The 18,953-nt window shown below is 40.5% G+C and overlaps 1 protein-coding gene across 4 annotated transcripts in view, besides 6 other annotated features; it reads right to left on the reverse strand.

The window, feature by feature from the left end:
- Positions 1–1,320: 1,320 nt before the first annotated feature.
- Positions 1,321–18,953, reverse strand: part of UGDH (UDP-glucose 6-dehydrogenase) — a 28,685-nt gene continuing 11,052 nt past the window's right edge. For 3 of the 4 annotated variants that reach the window (NM_001184701.2, NM_003359.4, XM_005262667.4), the window contains 10 exons: positions 16,649–16,750; positions 13,227–13,427; positions 12,919–13,116; positions 12,326–12,473; positions 11,132–11,226; positions 8,184–8,314; positions 7,803–7,936; positions 6,983–7,074; positions 6,441–6,551; positions 1,321–2,819 (listed from right to left, as the gene is read on the reverse strand). In NM_001184701.2, coding sequence (NP_001171630.1) covers positions 2,709–2,819; positions 6,441–6,551; positions 6,983–7,074; positions 7,803–7,936; positions 8,184–8,314; positions 11,132–11,226; positions 12,326–12,473; positions 12,919–13,116; positions 13,227–13,400 — 1,194 coding nt within the window. In that variant the 5' untranslated portion in view covers positions 13,401–13,427; positions 16,649–16,750 and the 3' untranslated portion in view covers positions 1,321–2,708. The remainder of the gene's footprint in view (positions 2,820–6,440; positions 6,552–6,982; positions 7,075–7,802; positions 7,937–8,183; positions 8,315–11,131; positions 11,227–12,325; positions 12,474–12,918; positions 13,117–13,226; positions 13,428–16,648; positions 16,751–18,953) is intronic. The other variant, NM_001184700.2, reaches the window with a different exon arrangement.
- Positions 17,575–17,869: an enhancer, noted in NCBI's record as "tiled region #12492; HepG2 Activating DNase unmatched - State 5:Enh". NCBI's record gives its function as "activates a minimal TATA promoter and a strong SV40 promoter by Sharpr-MPRA in HepG2 cells {active_cell/tissue: HepG2}" and the evidence as "EXISTENCE:reporter gene assay evidence [ECO:0000049][PMID:27701403]".
- Positions 17,575–17,900: a biological region, named in NCBI's record as "HNF1 and NFE2L2 motif-containing MPRA enhancers 6 and 8".
- Positions 17,717–17,861: an enhancer, noted in NCBI's record as "145 bp enhancer 8 fragment used in the MPRA reporter construct; PK_construct_3306". NCBI's record gives its function as "activates an SV40 promoter by MPRA in HepG2 cells {active_cell/tissue: HepG2}" and the evidence as "EXISTENCE:reporter gene assay evidence [ECO:0000049][PMID:23512712]".
- Positions 17,756–17,900: an enhancer, noted in NCBI's record as "145 bp enhancer 6 fragment used in the MPRA reporter construct; PK_construct_287". NCBI's record gives its function as "activates an SV40 promoter by MPRA in HepG2 cells {active_cell/tissue: HepG2}" and the evidence as "EXISTENCE:reporter gene assay evidence [ECO:0000049][PMID:23512712]".
- Positions 17,784–17,794: a transcriptional cis regulatory region, noted in NCBI's record as "NFE2L2 motif; MPRA enhancer 8 activity is reduced when this motif is scrambled". NCBI's record gives its function as "necessary for full MPRA enhancer 8 activity {active_cell/tissue: HepG2}" and the evidence as "EXISTENCE:site-directed mutagenesis evidence [ECO:0005528][PMID:23512712]".
- Positions 17,822–17,835: a transcriptional cis regulatory region, noted in NCBI's record as "NF1 motif; MPRA enhancer 6 activity is reduced when this motif is scrambled". NCBI's record gives its function as "necessary for full MPRA enhancer 6 activity {active_cell/tissue: HepG2}" and the evidence as "EXISTENCE:site-directed mutagenesis evidence [ECO:0005528][PMID:23512712]".

Genomic DNA, 18,953 nt, shown 5'->3' on the forward strand with positions numbered 1-18,953 from the left:
TCCTGCCTCAGCCTCCTGAGTAGCTGGGATTACAGGCGCGTGCCACTACGCCTGGCTAGTTTTTTTGTATTTTTAGTAGAGACGGGGTTTCACCATGTTGGCCAGGCTGGTCTCGAACTCCTAACCTCAGGTGATCCCCCACCTCAGCCTCCCAAAGTACAAGCATGAGCCACTGCACCCGGCACAAGTACCTATTTCTTTTTTTCTTCTTTTTGGAGCTCTTTCAAAGGATTTATTTGCTACAGAATTGCTTCAGTCCACCAATGAGATGAACTCAGGACTTCTTTGTTCAAAAGGATTTTGCTTATTGCTGTGTTTTTACAAATTCGGCAACATCCAAATAGCAATTCTTAGGCTGGGCACAGTGGCTTGAACCCCAGGAGGCAGAGGTTGCAGTGAGCCGAGATGGTGCCACTGCACTCCAGCCTGGCCAATAAAACAAGACTCTGTCTCAAAAAAAAAGAACAACAACAACAACAAAAGCAATTTTTTGCCAGCATTTGGCATATCTAGACAAGAGTAGAAAAAGTTTGAATCTATAGCATTAGATGTCTAAAAATAGAAAAAAAAACCATTTAAAAATTTAAAAATTCCTCATTTGGACAGGACAAGTGCCTAATTCTATCTGCTTTAGCATACATCTTCATACATCTTTGGACTTACAATGCCTTTACTAGAATATAAAATTACTAAGCAGAATACAATAATATTTTCAAGCAGAAATGTAAAGCAAATTCTAATTAATAAACTCATCCTCACTTCAAAGTCTTATGAGTAAAGGCTCACCTTATGTTCGAACTCTAGCATTTGTCTCTTTCAGAGGTATGCAGACTTTCTTAAAGGACCAGGTAGGAAATATTTTAGGCTTTGCCAGCCAAGAGGTAAAGTTGAGGATATTATGTAGGGATTTGTATAACCATTTAAAATGTTTGTGCTTTGTTTGTTTGTAGAAATGGGGTCTTACTTATTGCCTAGGCAGTAAGTTGCCCAGGCTGGTCTCAAACTGGCCTTAAGTGATCCTCCCTCTTTGGCCTCCCAAAGTGGTGGGATTACATGCATGAGCCACCATGCCTGGTCAAACCATTTAACATATGACCATGTAAAAATGTAACAACCATTCTTAGCTCACTCATGGCTGGCCAGATTTGACCCAGGGGCTACAGTTTGCCAATGTTTATTTGCTAAATTCTCTCCCTTTGTTGCATCATTTGAGAGAATGATATACCATTTTCTCTAAAAAGTGAGGTGTCATTTTTTTCCCATCTAATGTCAGGCTGTCATGACTCAGTTACTTGTGAATTGACAAAAATTACACCCATATAGTTGTTGATGGAGAATGTTTTATTTATGTAATTTTCATCTGTAGAGATGCTTCTGTCCTCATCTTTATATTTGTCTCCCTCTTCTCATTGAACTGCAAAATTCCTGAAGGATGAGACCTGGGATGTTTAATGCAAACTGTACATTCTCAGCAGAGCACAAGTATCAAAGGGACATTGGATATATTTTAATAATGATCTAACACAAGCAAAAATAACCACTGAAAATATAAAACTCAACAAGAGACATAAGAAAAAAGCAGACAGAAAACAAAAAAAATTCTTATTTTAGAATGATGCTATATGTAACTTGTAAAATATTTAAGTTTTTATACATGAGATTATATTGGTTTCCTTATTTAAAGAAAAAAATTACAATTAAGAATGGAAATTAAAATGTAAAACCAAGATAAATATTTTTGGCTTTTGGACTAAAAAAAAAAAGATTAGTGAGGAAAACCAATAAATAATGGGGAGAGAAAGAAATGCTACTAATTTTCTCTTCATGATTAAAAAAAAAATCTTTTAACCATATTTGGGGTGACTGGAAATTAACAGTGATGATTTTGAGCTAAAAAATCAGTGACACATTTTATTAAAACAAAAGGAACAAAGGAACTTTAACCAGACCATACATGTAAAGGCTGTTTAGCATAGCAATTTCATGGATTCAAAATATATCTTTAATGACAAACAAACCAATAACCAGGAGGAATGAAGACTGTCCTTCCCTTTATAATGTGATATTAAAGTGTGGCCTATGGACAATTTATAAAGTAAAGAGTTTGAAGTTTAATTTTTATTTTACAAAAATTGACACTATTAAAACCAACATGATTATCTTTCACTCATCCAATAACTGAGCTAACAGTATTATAAAAATATGTAAAAAAATTCTAGATTCATAATTACCAGATATGCTAATATCCATATAGCTAGTATAAATCTGATGATTAAAAAAATAGTTTTGTTTCCTTAAAAACACTTGGTTCATGGGCCAGGCGTGGTGGCTCACACCTGTAATCCCAGCACTTTGGGAGGCCGAGACGGGTGGTTCACAAGGTCAGGAGATTGAGACCATCCTGGCTCACATGGTGAAACCCTGTCTCTACTAAAAATACAAAAAATTAGCCAGGCACTGTGGCGGGTGCCTGTAGTCCCAGCTACTTGGGAGGCTGAGCCAGGAGAATGGCGTGAACCTGGGAAGCAGAGCTTGCAGTGAGCCGAGATTGCACCACTGCACTCCAGCCTGGGCAACAGTGAGACTCTGTCTCAAAAAAAAAACAAAAAAAAACACTTGGTTCATTTACCATTTAATAGCAGATAGATATTTGCTATCCTGAAGTACCAAAAAAAAAAAAAAAAAATCACAAATAAAAATGGCAATCTCTACACTTTAGGTTTCTTGTTAGGTGGATCTTGAAGACTAAACTTCGGAATTTCACCAGAAGGAGCATATGGAATTCTCTTTGAAGACACCTTTTTGCCAATTGTTTCAATCTGAAAAAAAAATAAAATTTAAGAGAACTATTAACAATTATATAAGTGTAAGAATTTATAATGTACTGAAATGGGAGCAGGGGGAATCTAGATTTTTTTCTTAGAAAAGGATTCTCAAGTTGTCTGAGTTGCTATGAGAGATCTTTGGTTTCTTCCCTATTTTTTGTTCCTAGAATTAATCTGTACTCCATCGTAATATTCATATCTAGACTTTCTCACTCCTGCCATTCCCCACACCTGACTCCCTCAAAGTAGTCAATTATGTGCCACCACTGTCTTTAGAAACATGTATGAAATTAACCTACCAGTTTCCAGTGAGTTCATATTTTATTTCAAACTCCATTCTCATTTCAATTTCCCTTGTACTAAAAAACCTGCAAAAGCTAACAGCATAATTCTCTTTTTTTTTTTTTTTTTTCTTGAGATGGAGTCTTGCTCTATCGCCTAGGCTGGAGTGCAGTGGCCTGATCTTGGCTCACTGCAACCTCCGTCTCCTAGGTTCAAGCAATTCTCCTGTCTGCCTTCTGAGTAGCTGGGATTACAGACGTGCACCACCACACCTGGCTAATTTTTGTATTTTTAGTAGAGATGAGGTTTTACATGCTGGCCAGGCTGGTCTCGAACTCCTGACCTCAAGTGATCTGCCTGCCTCGGCCTCCCAGAGTGCTGGGATTACCGGCGTGAGCCACTGTGCCCGAATGGTAACAGCATAATGCTTTTTTTTTTTTTGAGATGGAGTCTTGCCCTGTTGCCTGGGCTGCAGTGCAGTGGCACGATCTTGGCTCACTGCAACCTCTGCCTCGCAGGTTCAAGCGATTCTCCTCGCCTCAGCCTCCCAAGTAGCTAGGATTACAAGCGCCCGCCACCACACCAGGCTAATGTTTTTGTATTTTTAGTAGAGACGGGGTTTCACTATGTTGGCCAAGCTGGTCTCGAACTCCTGACTTCGTGATCCATCCGCCTTGGCCTCCCAAAGTGCTGGTATTACAGGCGTGAGCCACTGTGCCCTGCCAACAGCATAAATTTTTTTTTTTTTTTTGAGATGGAGTCTCGCTCTGTTGCCCAGGCTGGAGTGCAGTGGCGTGATCTCGGCTCACTGCAAGCTCTGCCTCCCGGTTCACACCATTCTCCTGCCTCAGCCTCCCGAGCAGCTGGGACCACAGGTGCCTGCCACCACGCCCGGCAATTTTTTTGTATTTTTAGTAGAGATGGGTTTTCACCGTGTTAGCCAGGATGGTCTCGATCTCCTGACCTCATGATCCGCCCGCCTCGGCCTCCCAAAGTGCTGGGATTACAGGCGTGAGCCACCGCACCCGGCCAGCATAATTCTTAAGAATTCAGACTTCAGAGTCTGAAAGGCCCCAGCTGGAATCCTGACTGGCACTTGCTGCATTACCTAAACTCTCTAGGTCTTTCTTCCTCACTTGTAAATTGTGTTACCACCACTTAACTCAAAGGGTCGTGGTAAGTATTAAATTAGGTAAAGTGCTTAGCATACAGCAAGCCAGCCTTCACTAAATGATAATCAATTTTGGTTTTGCCTATTACATTTTTCATTTATTCCATATATTCAAAATCATCATCTTATCATTAAAAACACTACTACTTCAACAGTCATGAATTTATCTCCCCTCCACAGCAGAGATAAACATACTACTCACTTTTCATGTCTTTTGAATTAAAAACTAATATTTAATTCTGACTCGTACCACAAAGAAAGGGCTTCTGCTTTATATTAACCAGTTGTCTCAGTGACTTACAAATTCTCCTTATTTAGTGATTCCATTCCTGTTTTTTTTTAATTTCTCACTAGGAAAGTTAACTTTTACAATAACTTAAAATCATTTAAAATATGTATTTCTCTACATATCTTTTCCCTTAGATGAGTAAAACAGGAATGAGAGAAAATGTGTCTATGCCTTGCAAATAACCTTTTAAAAATAACATTCCTGAGTTTAGTCATGACTGGGAAAAACAGTCATGTTGTTACTCACTAGGGAGGGGTGGAATAGAAGAGTCCCCAAGGTCTTGGATGGAAGAGTTCACAGACAAGGATGCCATTTGATTCTTTCCACAAGTAAATCTCTCATGAATGAGAAATGGGCACTGAATTCTAAATAAGGACCTTCAACAAGTTGGTGAGAGGTTAAGAGAACCAGATCAGATATTTTTGAATAGCAGATTAGGCCTTACTGATACCTCTCCAAGATAGCTGGTGCTGAGATGTGCATAGCAAGCTGTCAAACACTGCTGCTTTTCTGCTTGCTTGGGCACTACATTGACAACAACCCCCTGGCATATTTTTTTATTCTCCCTAACTTACTCCACCTCCCCATCCTCCTATCCCCATATACATACTGCTCTGAGGAAATGGAAAATAGCTCCTTATTAATACCTTTGGGACTCCTTGGAGAACTGAAATAGATGTAACCTACAAAAACACTGTTCTGGGTGGAGGCTTCTGTCAGCTTTCCAAATGTTCCATAATTGACAAACTGTTTTTTGTTTTTTGAGGCAGGGTCTTGCTCTGTCACCCAGGCTGGCATGCAATGGCATGATCTCAGCTCATTACAACCTCTGCCTGCTGGGCTCAAGCAATCCTCCCACGTCAGCCTCCCATGTGGCTGGGATTACAGGCACAGGCCACCAAGCCTGACTAATTTTTATTATTTTTTTTTCCCAAAACGGAGTCTTGCTCTGTCACCCAGGCTGGAGTGCAGTGGTGTGATCTTGGCTCACTGCAACCTCCGCCTCCCAGGTTTAAGCGATTCTCCTGCCTCAGCCTCCAAAGTAGCTGGGATTACAGGTGTGTGCCACCACACCCAGCTAATTTTTGTATTTTTAGTAGAGATGGGGTTTTACAGTATTGTCCAGGCTGGTCTCGAACTCCTGACCTTGTGATCCGCCCGCCTCAGCCTCCCAAAGTGCTGGGATTATAGGCGTGAGCCACCGCGCCCAGCAATTTTTGTATTTGTTAATAGACACGGGGTTTCACCATGTTGGCTAGGCTGGTCTCGAACTCCTGGCCTTAAGTGGTCTACCTCCACAGCCTCCCAAAGTGCTGGGATTACAGGTGTGAACCACTATGCCTGGCCAGTTGACAAACTTTGAATCAGAAGAGGGCCAGTACCATTGAAACTCCCATATGTTTCATTCAGACCCCTCACAGCACTGGCACAGTGCTGAGTACTCAGAAGGTATAGGATGAACACCTGCTGATTGACCAAGACCTCTTTCTTTCTCTACCTTTAGATCGCAAATTTAGGGAGGAAGTAGAGAAGTAGAGTAGTCAGAAAAATCCCATAGGGACTTCCTAAAGAACTGACATGTTGCCCCAGAGTTACGTTACTGCTAAAGAAAATAAGAAAATTCTAAAACCCACACAATGGGTTTAAAAAGCAAATGAGCACTTTCCTAATTGTTGAAATAAACTTCTGATATTGATTTGGTTCCCCAAAAGAACTTCCCTAGAAAGAAGGTATCATCTTAATTAGCCAAACATATTCTGACCTGCTGTGATGGTCTTTTGATGTCAACTTGACTAGATTATAGTCCCCAGTTGTTGAATCAAACACTAAAGACCAAACAAAAAGAAAAAAAACAATCCAGGATCATGATTACCTGGAAGCCAATGGTTTGTAGTTCATTGTGGAGCCCATCCAGGACACGCCGTCCATCGAAGATAAAGGCTGGCTTTAGCATTTTTTTATGAATGCGTTCATAATCCAATTCCTGTAAAGACAAACCACAGGAACAATTAAAACACATACGTGGGCCGGGCGGAGTGGCTCATGCCTGTAATCCCAGCACTTTGGGAGGCCAAGATGGGTGGATCACGAGGTCAGGAGATCGAGACCATCCTGGCCAACATGGTGAAACCCCGTCTCTACTAAAAATACAAAAAATTAGTTGGGCGTGGTGGCAGGAGCTTGTAGTCCCAGCTACTCAGGAAGCTGAGGCAGGAGAATGGCGTGAACCCAGGAGGCAGAGCTTGCAGTGAGCCGAGATTGCGCCACTGCACTCCAGCCAGGGCGACAGAGCGAGACTCCATCTCAAAAAAAAAAACAAAAAAACAAAAAAACACATACATGAACACATACTCAACCCCAGCTGATAGTGGAACACCTCTAGAATTTTCCTTAGTATCTTTTCTGTTACCTTACCTTAAACATGTCCCACTCAGTGCAAATAACAACAGCATGGGCACCATCACATGCTTCATATGGATCCTTGGAAATGGTCACGAGCCGGGACACTGTAACAATAGCAACAACAAAAAAACAGAAATAAGAAAGGAGTTATATGACATTACAGTAGTTCCCCCCTTATCTGCAGGGATACATTCCAAGACCCCCAGTAGATGTCTGAAACTGTGGAGAGTACTGAACCCTATATATACTTACACACATACCTGTTTTTTGAATCTGATTGCCAAAAGTTACTAAGTGACTAAGTAGCATATGGAATGTGGATATGCTGGACAAAGGAATGATAAATGTCCCAGGCAGGATGAAGCAGCACACAATTTAAAACTTATGAATTGTTTATTTCTGGAATTTTCCTTCTAGTACTTTCAGACTGCAAGTGACCGCAGATAACTGAACCCGTGGAAAGCAAAACCACACATAAGGGGATAGTACTATAGGTATTCTAACACTAGGACTGCAGGAAGAGTTGGGAATAATCTGATTGCAGTATCAATGGGAGTGATGGTGGGAGGCCCCAAACCCTGCTTTGGAAGCATCTCTTTGGAATTTTGGGGATTTGTGGAGTATGTTGGAAAAATCAATGGACCAATCCACAGCTGATCACTTCAAATCAATGTTGATGACATTATGCCTAAGACTTTAATTTCAGAGAAATGAGGTTGAAAAGAGGGCCTACCAATGATATACATGATAAAACTGAACAACCTAAGGTTTCCAAAAGATAAAAAGTTTTCAGGTCTGGACTCAAAATGATTCATGAGACTCAAAGCCTTACCTTGGTCATCCTCTGAAACACCTGGATGAGAAAGATCCACAACTATTTGTTCCCTAGGTACTTTTGGATCATATATATGTAGATGTGCACCTTCATCCATCAAATATTTGCTAATATATATACTAGAAGATTCTCTATAGGAAAAAAAAAATCAGTATTGGTAAGCTTTATGTGGCATTATATTCTAATACCAGGGAGTTTAAGATACAGGTAAAATTATATTTCTGAAGCTGGTAGAGTGGTGAAGATATGGATATTTATTTTTATTCTTTATATTTTATATATATACATGTATTTTATGTACACCTACCCCAATCAAAAAATTAAGATGAGGAGTTAACACAATCTCAAAAGGGTTGAAATATTTTTAAAAACTGATACCTTGTATCACCAGTGTCCTTTTTGAATGCAAATCCCAAAATAGCTATCTTCTTATCAGTTACTGTATTAAACAGACTATCTATGATCCGGGAAGCAAACCTCCTCCTCTGGTAGTCATTCATGTCTATGACCTGAAATTACATGTACAATTGTGCAATGATTAGTTAAAAGAGGCACAGCCTATGACACACATTACTCAGAATTTTATGGTGAGTGCTATTGTACAAATACAATGCTTACATATTAACAAGAGGCAAAAATTAACCAAACTCTAGTGCCTATGGATTAAAAAAAAAAAAAAATCACTCATCCCCTTCCTTAAAGCCATCCTAGGCCAGCAGTGGTAGCTCATACCTGTAATCCCAGCACTTTGGGAGGCCGAGGTGGGCGATTGCTTGAGCTCAGGAGTTCAAGACCAGCCTGGGCACCACGGCGAGACCCTGTCTCTACAAAAAATACAAAAATTAGCCAGGCAAGGTGGCATGTGCCTGTAGTCCCAGCTACTTGGGAGGCTGAGGTGGGATGGCTTGAGCACAGGAGGCAGAGGTGGCAGTGAGCCGAGATCATGCCACTGCACTCCAGCCTGGGCGACAGAGCCAGACCCTGCCGTAAATTTAAAAAAAAAAAAAAAGCCATTCTAAAAATTTCTAATTTCATTTGGCTTGATTTTCTATGCATAAGGCTAGGATGGATGCCAAAAGTGGAGCGCACAACCAAGTTTTAATTCTAAGCGCATTTGAGGTTCAGCTATGAGACCAACCTAAATAAGGCACATAGGAAACCATACTATCCTTAGTCCGTGTCTCCAAATTCTGTGGAAACAAGCTACAAGCAATGAAACCCCAAAGTATTCCTTCATTTGCTTGTGCCCCACTATTCACAAAAATTCAGTTTCAGTGGAAAGTGGACAGGCAACAAACAATGTGCAGAGTTCTAGCTGCCTCTGGATGAACCATAACACCACAACTATTTGACAAGGTTTTTTAACTAACTAAATGTTATAAGAGTCTCTGATCACTTAATCTGTTAAATTTAGGTTGGTAACCGGGTGGGCGAAGCAAAAGAAACTTTTTTAAGGCTTTAAGCTTTCAGGGACCATCTCAATCAAACCCTGAGAGCTTAAGCAATTAGCCCAAAGTGTTGGAAAATCAAGAGTTTATCTGCATTTTTCACACAATGAACAGTGAGATAAAGCCATCATGATGGATTGACTGGAATGACACTAATTGTATCTGTTTTCACTTTAAAATGTGCATTTCCGGCTAGGCAGGGTGGTGCACCTGTAGTCCCAGCTACTCAGGAGGCTCAGGTGGAAGGATCACTTGAGCCCAAGAGTTGGAATCTAGGCTGGACAACACAGTGAGACCCTGTCTCTAAAAAGTAAAACATTTTAAAAAAAGAAACGTGCATTTCTTTAGATTCCCTCCCATATCTACTGCTGAAACCTGAAAAATTATAAACTCGGGGAAAATATTTGGGAAAGGCACATATACCGACTAGTAATTGGGGCAAATTACTTAATATCTCCATGTCAGTTCCCTCATCAAATAAAGAGGATAATGTTAGTGATGAGGATTAAATGAGATACTGTATGCAAAGTGCCCAAAAGAGTACCCAGTACAGGGTAAGCATTCAATAAACATCAACTCTACTTCCCAGAGCTCACTTAATGCTTCCAATTTGGAAGGGGTTTCTAATTTTAGCTCTGTGAGTCTGAAAGGTCCAAAACAAATATCAGCAGATACAAAACCACTTGAAAGCATGACAATATAGGTTCTGTTTTTTGGAGACGAAGTCTCGCTCTGTCATCTAGGCTGGAGTGCAGTGACACAATCCTGGCTCACTACAACCTCCGCCTCCTGGGTTCAAGCAATTCTCATGCCTCAGCCTCGCCAGGCCAGTCTCGAACTCCCAACCCTCAAGTGATCTGTCCACCTCAGGCTCCCGAAGTACAGGGATTACAGGTGTGAACCACCATGCCCGACCAACGTTATAATATAGGTTCTTATTTTATTTTGATTTTATGCCTTTCAAGATAGAGAAGAATTAGGCTAGGTTCACTGGCTAACACTTATATTCCCAGCACTTTGGGAGGCAAAGATGGGAGGACTGCTGAGCCCAGGAGTTTCAGACCAGCCTGGGCAATATAGTGAGACCTTGTCTCTACAAACAAAATTTTTTAAATAAAAAAATTAGCCAATGTGGTGGTGCGTTCCTGAAGTTGAGGTTGAAGTGGGAGGATTGCTTGAGCACAGGAGGTCACTGCAGTGAGCAGCGATGGCACCACTGCATTCTAGCCTGGGTGACAAAGTGAGATCTTGTCTCAAAAAAAAAAAAAAAAAAAAGAGAGAAGAGTTATAATTAAGGATAATTGTTTTTGTTTTACTCTGGGAGCAAATTAGAATACTGGCTTATCACAAACTTCCATCAACATTGATTAGCAGGAAAGATAAATTAAAAACACAGATACCCAATAAATAAACATAAAATAAGCAAATTGAATATACTAATTTTTGACTTCCTGGAATAAATAAATTCCATCAAAAACATTTCATGGACAAAAAGTGACATGCTTAATGAGAAGCTAAACAGAAACTGCTATTATTATTGCTGTTACTATTATTATGTCAGAGACAGGGTCTCACTCTGTTGTCCAGGCTACAGTGCAGTGGAGCGATCATAAGTCAGTCACTGGAGCCTCCAACTCCTAGGCTCAAGTGATCCTCCCACCTCAGCCTCCCAAGTAGCTAGGACTACAGGTGTGCAACACCATGCCTGGCTAATTTTTAAAATTTTTGTAGAGATGGGGTCTCACTATGTTGCCCAGGCCAGTCCCAAATTCCTGGCCTCAAGTGATGCTCTTGCCTTGGCTTCCTAAAGTGCTGCGATTACAGGTGTGAACCACTATGCCTGGCTAAACAGAAATTATTACCTATAGAGATTAATACCTGCTGCCAATAACGAGCTACTTCTGGCAAATTCAGAGCCTCACAGAGATAAACCAAATTCAGAACATCCTTTTGGAAACAGCTCCCACCAAACCCTGCAGAAAGAAAAAAATGAACAATATTTTCATGTAAGAACGAGAAAACTCAATCATGTGACAAATTTCTTTATACTAAATCAGAAAGCTTATACTAAGATTTTTTAATAATAAAATTCAGATGGATAAATAATGGGCTTATAAATTATGTAAAATTTGCAGGCAACTAAACAACTCCACAAGTAACTTCCAAATAATTTTCTAACTAAAATTTCATTATGGCTACGTTTAACTTTTTATATTGTTTCCTTTTATCTCCTTTTTTTTCTCATTCATCTAGTATGACTGCCCCACATTCTTTAGCACAGGGTCAGCAAACTTTTTCTCTTTTTGAGACAGAGTCTCCCTCTGTCGCCCAGGCTGAAGTGTAGGGGTATGAACATGGCTCACTGCAGCCTTGACCTCCTGGGCTCAGGTGATCCTCCTACCTTAGCCTCCCAGGTAGCTGGAGCTACAGGTGTGCACCATCATGCCTGACTAATTTTTTGTCTTTTTTTTTTGCAGAGCTGGGGCTTCACCATGCTGCCCAGGCTGGTCTCAAACTCCTAGGCTCAAGCAATTTGCCCGCCTTGGCCTCAGACTCCCAAAGTGCTGGGATTATAGGCATGAGCTACTGTGCCTGGCCTGGGTCAGCAAACTTTCATGGTAAAGGGCCAGACAGTAAGTATTTCAGCCTTTGTGGACCATTCAGTTTCTGAGGAGACTATTAAACTGCCACTGTAGCTCAAAAGCAGCCATAGACAATATGTAGTCTAATGGTCATGGCTGTGTTCCAATAAAATTTATTTACAAAAACAAGTTGTGGGCTGGATTTGACCCAAAGGCCATAGTTTGCCCACCCTTGCTCTAGTGCAATGCAGTATGCAGTAAGGAATAATATGGCTTTGGCGTTAGAAACATCTAGTCACTCAGCTGCATGACTTTGAGCAAGTTGCACAAATTTCCCTGAGTCTGAATCATCTCTAAAAAAGAAAATAACAGCATCTACCTAACAGGTTATAAGGATTCAATGAGATATATAAAGCGCTGGTACCAGCAAATAATATGCCTTCAGTAAATAAACACTAGCTCTTTCTACTAGAGAAAAATTTGAATTTACCAACACTGGCTTTTAGAAACTTGTTTCCAATTCTCTGGTCCATTCCAATCGCTGTTGCTACCTCTTCTACATCAGCTCCTGTTGCTTCACACAGAGCACTTATGGAGTTAATGCTGCTTATTCTCTGGGCAAGAAAAGCATTTGCTGCCTTAAAAAAAAAAAACATAGAGAAGAGTAAGATAAGCTAAAACAGCAATTTTATACATCTAGTTTATATTTCATTGCGTTGACGCAAATTACTGAGGGAGATATATAAGATACTGATGAGCTCAATTTGAGGAGACAATGGATGGGTTAGAAAGGGAAAATGTTTTAAATTAGAGAGGACAGATGATTAAGAAAAAGGGTAAAGAGGGAAAGAGTGATAAAAACCAAATTACTATTTTAAGATTTCAGAATTTTTCAGAATCTTTTATACCCTCATATATGATCTCCCTTGTGAAAATTATTTCATAATTTGAATGTGCAAGAATATGATCTTCAAAAGCATAACCTCTTACTACTATTAAAAAAGTATCTGTGTAGTTTATCAGGCTTGAAATAAATAAATATTTGGCTTTAATTTAATGAAGAGTTGAATGCTATATACTAACCAGTTTGGAAAGCTCTGAAGACCAAGTATTAGTGGTGAGGATCTTTTCTCTGGGAACCCAGTGCTCATATACAGCACACAGGGCCTGCACAGCTCTCTGGCCCTCTGGAGTTTCATCCCCTCCAATCAGTACTCTGTCTGGGTTCTTTAGGTCCTTGATGGCTGTTCCCTCTGCCAGAAACTCAGGGTTGGACAGCACCTAGAATCCCAATGCAAAGGAAAGTTTTAAGCTAGAATTAATTATGGGCAACTTTAACACATCAGTATTTACATAAGAATAACCAGATTCTAATGCTTCATTTTTTATACCTGTAAATTCAAGTTGGGTTTTGTGTTTGCATCAAATATGCGACGGATACTTTCTGCTGCCCGCACTGGAACTGTGCTTTTCTCAGTCACAATTTTGTACCCATTTGAGTTTTGCACAATGCGTCTAGCACAAGCTTCAATATACTTCAGATCTGCTGCCCGGCCTTTCCCCATTCCATAGGTTTTTGTTGGAGTATTCACCTGATGTAAGTATATGGGATAAAGAACAGAGTGCCTGTGAGATAGGGATTTCAAGATATACCCTGAACTACTGGTTAAAGTGTGGAGTTAACAATCATCAGTAGCCCTGATTTAATCCTCTGTTAGTTCCATAGAAATAATACATTTTATAAATATAATAATCAGAAGAAATAGCTTGAAGCATCTAGAGAACTCATTCAATAAATTTTTGTTAGGAAGCTACTATCTATATGCCGGATAACTAGGGCAGGCAGATTCCAGCTAAGCCCTGAAGATACATAAATGAATGAGACGGTTATCCTAAAGGACTTCACAATCTGAAATGAAATGTAAGCCTTTTCTTATTCCCTTTCTTTATTGTACATAATATATTATTATAGTCCTTAAAAATAAGTTTTAAAGTCTTTTTTTTTTTTTTGAGATGGAGTCTTGTTCTTTGCCCAGGCTAGAGTGCAGTAGTGTAATCTCGGCTCACTGCAACCTCTGCCTCCCAGGTTCAAGCGATTCTCCTGCCTCAGCCTCCCAAGTAACTGGGACTACAGGCATGCGCCACCACACCCCACCACTTTTTTTATATTTTTAGTAGAGACAGGGTTTCATCATGTTGTCCAGGCTGGTCTCGAACTCCTGACCTCAGGTGATCTGTCCACCTCAGCATCCCAAAGTGCTGGGATTACAGGCGTGAGCCACCGCACCTGGCCTCCTTTCTTATTCCCCTATTTTTACAGTCCTATATCAACAGTCTTTTAAAATATTGCAATATCATTTACAAATGCTTTCTGAGTTCATTAAAGCTAGACATTACCTATCATCTTCAGGATATAGAATACTATGTGGACAAAGACTTGCTTTTTTTTTTTTTTTTTAAGATGGAGCCTTGCTCTGTCACCCAGGCTGGAGTGCAGTGGCGCGATCTCGGATCACTGCAATCTCTGCTTCCTGGGTTCAAGCGATTCTCCTGCCTCAGCCTCCTGAGTAGCTGGGATTACAAGTGCGCCACCACACCCGCCTAATTTTTGTATTTTTAGACGGGGTTTCACCATGTTGGCCAGGGTGGTCTCAAACTCCTGACCTCAAGTGATCTGCCTGCCTCAGCCTCCCAAAGTACTAGGATTACAGGCATGAGCCACTGCACCTGGCCAATGGGCGAAGACTTTCATTTAGAAAAAAAAAAAAAAAATCATGGGCCCAGAGTCTAGGCATTTAGTTTTGGATTACATGTAACCTTGGAGAAGTGTGGCTGCCTCTGCCTCAGTGACCTCATTGGAAAATGAGGATAGTGAGCTCTCTAAAAACTAACACATGAATGTTATAATGCTCTGACAAAAATGAAAGTGCTCTGAAAAGTCTAAAACTTAAAGGGAATAGGAATTATTTTTGAACTAATAGTAAGTAGTACTAACTCTCTTCTCTTGATGAGATTATAACCCAATGGGAGACTAAATAAAGGAATCAAGTGAAAATAAATCAAAACTTGAAGATTGAGTTGAGGTGTGAAAAGCAGGAGGAAAAAGTTGTTTACATGCATGGAACAACTTAGGGCAAGAGTTACATGTAATGGTGTACGGAAAGGCAAAGACAGCTCATGATGTAGGGTGAAACTGGCTAGAGATGGGAGATGATCAGACAGCTTCCCCTGGTAAAGGAGCTTTGAAAACAACAGTTGAAAACTGATTGCTACAAAATAATTCCTGTCTGGCATTCAAAAACAGATTATTTTTAAATGTCCTTTCTGCAGAAAATTATTCTATTACCATTCTAGGCTCTGGTCACCTAAAAATTAGACTAAGTAACTCATTGATTTTTTCCAGGTACCTAGCTACTCCAAAATATTTTCTTATTTTTTTATGCCTCCACTCTAACTTTCTGCAAGTTTAAATAGGGGATGGGTAGGTAAGTCATAAAAGCTGCATCAATTTCTCTGAAGTGATTAAGGAGGTCAAAAAGAAGAGACTGAATTTTTTTTTTTTTTTTTTTTTGAGACAGGGTCTCCTTCTGTCACCTAGGCTGGAGTGCAAGGTACAATAATGGCTCATTGCAGCCTCAACCTCCAGGGTTCAATCAATCCTCCCACCTCAGTCTCCCAAGTAGTCAGGACTACAGACATACAGCACCACGGCCAGCTAAGTAGAGACAGGGTTTCACCATGTTGCCCACGCTGGTCTCAAATTCCTATGCTCAAGCGATCCGCCTGCCTTGGCCTCCCAAAGTGCTGGGATTACAAGCATGAGCCATCATGCCCAGCTCGTAAAGATCTTAAGTCATATAACACCCTCACTCAGCTTCCAACTGGTGATAGCTATATCATTACATACAGAATATTTGAGTAGATGGTTACTAGGACAGCAAGATGTAAGTTGCTTTGGTTCAAATAGTGGTTTACTAGAGTTTAATCTCAAGTGTTGGTTCTGTTTTTTTCATTATAAAGGTAGGACAGTTCAGCCACATTATGAGGTAAAGGTGTCTGTTGGTTAGCCTGATAATCTAACCAACATATGCCAAGTTACAAACAATTAATGTAAAATTCATTTAGAGAGGAGATGCCTGTAAGTTTGCAAACTGATTTTCTTCATCTCACCTCTGCCAACCACTGGAAACAAGAAATAATGAAATAAATATGAAATATACTATCATCACATGTGCTCTCATGTTACCAGCATTTCCTAGTTCTTTTTTTTTTTTTTTTTTTTTTTTGAGACAGAGTCTCACTCTATCACCAGGCTGGAGTGCAGTGGCGCGATCTCGGCTCACTGCAACCTCTGCCTCCTTGGTTCAAGCGATTCTCCTGCCTCAGCCTCTTGAGTAGCTGGGACTGCGGGTGCACACCACCACGCCCAGCTAATTTTTGTATTCTTAGTAGAGACGGGGTTTCACCATGTTGGCCAGGATGGTCTCAATCTCTTGACCTTGTGATCTGCCCACCTTGGCCTCCCACAATGCTGGGATTACAGGCGTGAGCCACCGCACCCGCCCATTTCCTAGTTCTAAATCTCAAATTAGAACTTTGAGTTTACTTGTTCAATGACTTGTAATGACATATTTGACTAGATGATTACGGGGTTTTGTGAACTGTCAGACAAAGTGACAACCAAAATTCACCGGACAACTCTATACTAAGCAATGTTGAGGCTTAATACCAATGGATTTACTATTAAAGTATGATGAAACTTTTATATAGACAAGAATACATTAAAATTCACACAACAAAGGAAAATACTTACAGAAATAAATACAAGATCAGCTTCTTTGATGGCATCATCAATATTGGTAGAAAAAAAAAGATTTTTTCCTCGACAGGATTCTACCACTTCTTTTAGTCCTGGCTAAAAAGAAAAAAGAAAAGGAATTGTACATATAGCTTGCCAGTGATATGAGATAACCTAATAGTATAGAATTACATTTGTTAAAGGGCATGGTAATATTGTAATTTAAAGGTCTAGGTTGTGCTCAAATTACCTTTGTAGACAAGTTAAGGATCATATACCAAAGGCCATAAGTGCACATCTCATTTTTTAAATAGGGACAGGGTCTCACTCTGTCACCCAGGCTGGAGTGCAGTGGTGCAATCTCAGCTCACTGCAGCCTCCGCCTCCTGGGCTCAAATGATCCTCCCATCTCAGCCTCCCAAGTAGCTAGGACCACAGGAGCCATGAGGCCTGGCTAATTTTTGTATCTTTTTTTGGCAGAGATGGGGTTTTGGGGTTTCACTGGGTTGTCCAGGCTGGTCTCACATTCCTGGGCTCAAACAATCCTCCCATCTCAGCTTCCCAAAGTGCTGGGATTATAGGAGTGAGCCACCATGCCCAGCCCATTTATTTTATTTTATTTTATTTTTTTTTGAGACAGAGCCTCTTTCTGTCACCCAGGCTGGAGTGCAGTGGTATGATCTCGGCTCACTGCGACTTCCGTCTCCTGGGTTCAAGCAGTTCTCCTGCCTCAGCCTCCCAAGTAGCTGGGATTACAGGCATGCACCACCACACTGGGCTAATTTTGTATTTTTAGTAGAGATGGGGTTTCACCATGTTGGCTAGGATGGTCTTGAACTCCTGACCTCAGGTAATCCACCTGCCTTGGCCTCCCAAAGTTCTGGGATTACACGCACAAGCCACCACACCTGGCCTATTTTATTTTTTCATACAGGGTTTCGCTCTGTTCCCCAGGCTGGAGTGCAGTTGCGTAACAGCTCACTACAACCTTGACCTCCCAGGCTCAGGCAATCCTCCCTGCTCCTCCTCCTAAAGTGCTGGGATTATAGGAGTAAGTTACCACGCCCTGCCTCATAAGTACACTTAAGTAAATAAAGTAAAATGGAAATTGCCATTAAACTTGCTACAATCAGAAGAGCAGCTCATTTAATGCTTTGTCATTGTTTACCATGTGACTAACTCATAAGAGTTAACCATTAACTATGAGTATCAACACAATTTTCAGAAAATTCAAGGTCTTCTGTGATTTCAAGCAAATATATGATTTTGCATTGTCATTATGAATGCACATTTTTACTCCCAATAATTCAGGCCATAGAACTGGCTGTGAAAGTCAATTTACTCCATATATGCTTAAATAAATATAAATTTTTCTATATGCTTAAATAAATATAAATTTTTCTAAGTCCTATTGCAAGGAACCCTTTTATTTAAAAAAAAAATCCCAGTTTAACAGGAGATATATTTATGTTAAGAATATGGAGGGGTATAAAACCACTTAACAAATATTCTTATAAAAAAAAAATCAAGCCTAAATCTGATTGGACCTGTACCTTTAGATCTAACTACCAATTTACATTAAATAAAGAATAAGTTGAAAAACTCCAAGGAACTGAACCAGCAAAATCTAGACTGAAAAATTTCTTTTTTTTGAGACAGTCTTGCTCTGTCACCCTGGCTGGAGTGCAGTGGCACCATCTCGTCTCACTGCAACATCCACCTACCAGGTTCAAGTGATTCTCGTGCCGCAAACTCCCAAGCAGCTGGGATTACAGGCGCACACCACCATACCTGGCTAATTTTTGTATTTTTGGTAGAGACGGGGTTTTTCCATGTTGGCCAGGCTGGTCTCGAACTCCTGGCCTTAAGCGATCCACCCGCCTCAGCCTCCGAAAGTGCTGGGATTACAGGCATGAGCCACTGTGCCTGGCCTAGACTGTGATAATTTCTAGCCAATAAACAAACTGGTTTCTTCAACCAATAGATACTGGTTGAAGCACAACTATTGTGGGCTACCAGCCTGGGCAACATGGCGAAACCCCATTTCTACTAAAAAAATTTTAAAAAATAGCTGGGCATGGTGGCGCTTGCCTGTAGTCCCAACTATTCAGGAGGCTGAGGTGGGAGGATCACCTGAGCCCAGGAGGCGGAGGTTGCAGTGAGCCAAGATCGGGCCACTGCACTCCAGCCTGGGCCACAGAGCAAGGCCCTGTCTCAAAGAAAAACAAAATTATCTTTTAGAGATACATGATAAAGTATTTATGGATGAAATTATAAATAATCAGCATGGTGGTAGTTGGGAAGGAGGACTGGCCACGTA

The sequence above is a fragment of the Homo sapiens genome, chromosome 4, assembly GCF_000001405.40.
Source record: "Homo sapiens chromosome 4, GRCh38.p14 Primary Assembly".
NCBI lineage: Eukaryota > Metazoa > Chordata > Mammalia > Primates > Hominidae > Homo > Homo sapiens.